This window comes from Homo sapiens, chromosome 1 (assembly GCF_000001405.40).
Source record: "Homo sapiens chromosome 1, GRCh38.p14 Primary Assembly".
Classification (NCBI taxonomy): domain Eukaryota; kingdom Metazoa; phylum Chordata; class Mammalia; order Primates; family Hominidae; genus Homo; species Homo sapiens.
Genome location: NC_000001.11, coordinates 212,160,357 through 212,161,650, shown reverse-complemented (window position 1 = coordinate 212,161,650; position 1,294 = coordinate 212,160,357). Strand labels below are relative to the sequence as shown.

The 1,294-nt window shown below is 45.7% G+C and overlaps 1 annotated feature.

Annotated features, from left to right (window-relative positions):
• Nucleotides 309-418: an enhancer, noted in NCBI's record as "active region_2498". NCBI's record gives its function as "activates an Ori minimal core promoter by ATAC-STARR-seq in GM12878 lymphoblastoid cells {active_cell/tissue: GM12878}" and the evidence as "EXISTENCE:reporter gene assay evidence [ECO:0000049][PMID:35858748]".

The following is a 1,294-nucleotide window of genomic DNA, read 5'->3' as shown; positions in this document are numbered from 1 at the left end:
GCCTGAGCTGTATGACTCATTGGACCAGGCAGTAATATCCCTTGAACACAGTGGAATTAGGTCAACCTCCTACCACCACTAATCCTGGCATCTCTCCTCCCCCAGTGAGCTTCCTATTTGGCCCTGTTGGGTTCTCACTTGGTGCCAGTCTGACTTTCTTGGGTTTGCTTTCTATTCTTTTGGCAGGACCCAGAGCAGGTACAATTCCCTTTGTGTTTGTTTAGAAACTGCTCTTCAGTGGTTGAGAGGAGTTGGGCCTCCCAGTCACAGTGTTTTGGTGGTTTGTTTCCATTTCTCCTTTGTGGTTGTGTTTATGACTGTGGTACAACTACTTGGAACTGAAATGTAGTTTCTTTGGAGACAGGGGTATTCTGTAGACACGGTGAAATTCCTTGGACTTGGAGGGTCTCCAGAATGCAATACAATATCTCTAACTGGCTCTAGAACTACCCAGAGTGAATAGGATTCTATTGTTACAGCTAGAACTAGGGTGAATGAATGCAGGATTCTTCATTTATTCAGCCAATGTGTGTGAGCACTTCTAATGTGCCAGGCACTACTAGTACTGGGAAGAATAAAATAGCCCTGACCATTGCAGCCAAGATTTTCTTTGTTCCCTTTCTAGGCCATCAAGCACAATGCTTCCAGGTTAACCTTCACACACTCACACTCACACTCACAGGTGTTAACACTTACTGTATGTTAGGGTAAAAAGTTGGTAGGGGGCCGGGCGCGGTGGCTCACGCCTGTAATCCCAGCACTTTGGAAGGTCAAGGCGGGTGTATCACCTGAGGTCGGGAGTTCGAGACAAGCCTGGCCAACATGGCGAAACCCTGTCTCTACTAAAAATACAAACAAACAAACGAACAAGAGGGCATGGTGGCCGGCGCCTGTAATCCCAGCTACTCGGGGGGCTGAGGCAGGAGAATCGCTTGAGCCTGGAAGGCAAAGGTTGCAGTGAGCCAAGATCGCGCCATTGCACTCCAGCCTGGGCAACAACAGTGAAACTCGTCTCAAAAAAAAAAAAAAAAAAAAAGTTGGTAGGGTATAGTCCCTGTCACTCAGAAACACAAAATTATCCTACTTTAAGGCCTGTTTGGAATGAATGAAATATATTTATTCTACCAAGTGCTTGGGACTAGAATAGAGTTATAATAGAAATGCATGGAGAGTACAGGAGCATGAGAACTAAATCTACTTCAAAGGAGTCATTTGCTGAATACCTACTACATGCCCAGCGATAGAGAAAAACAGCTTCAGCTTCAGAGCTGAGATGTGTGGACTTTTGAGTAAC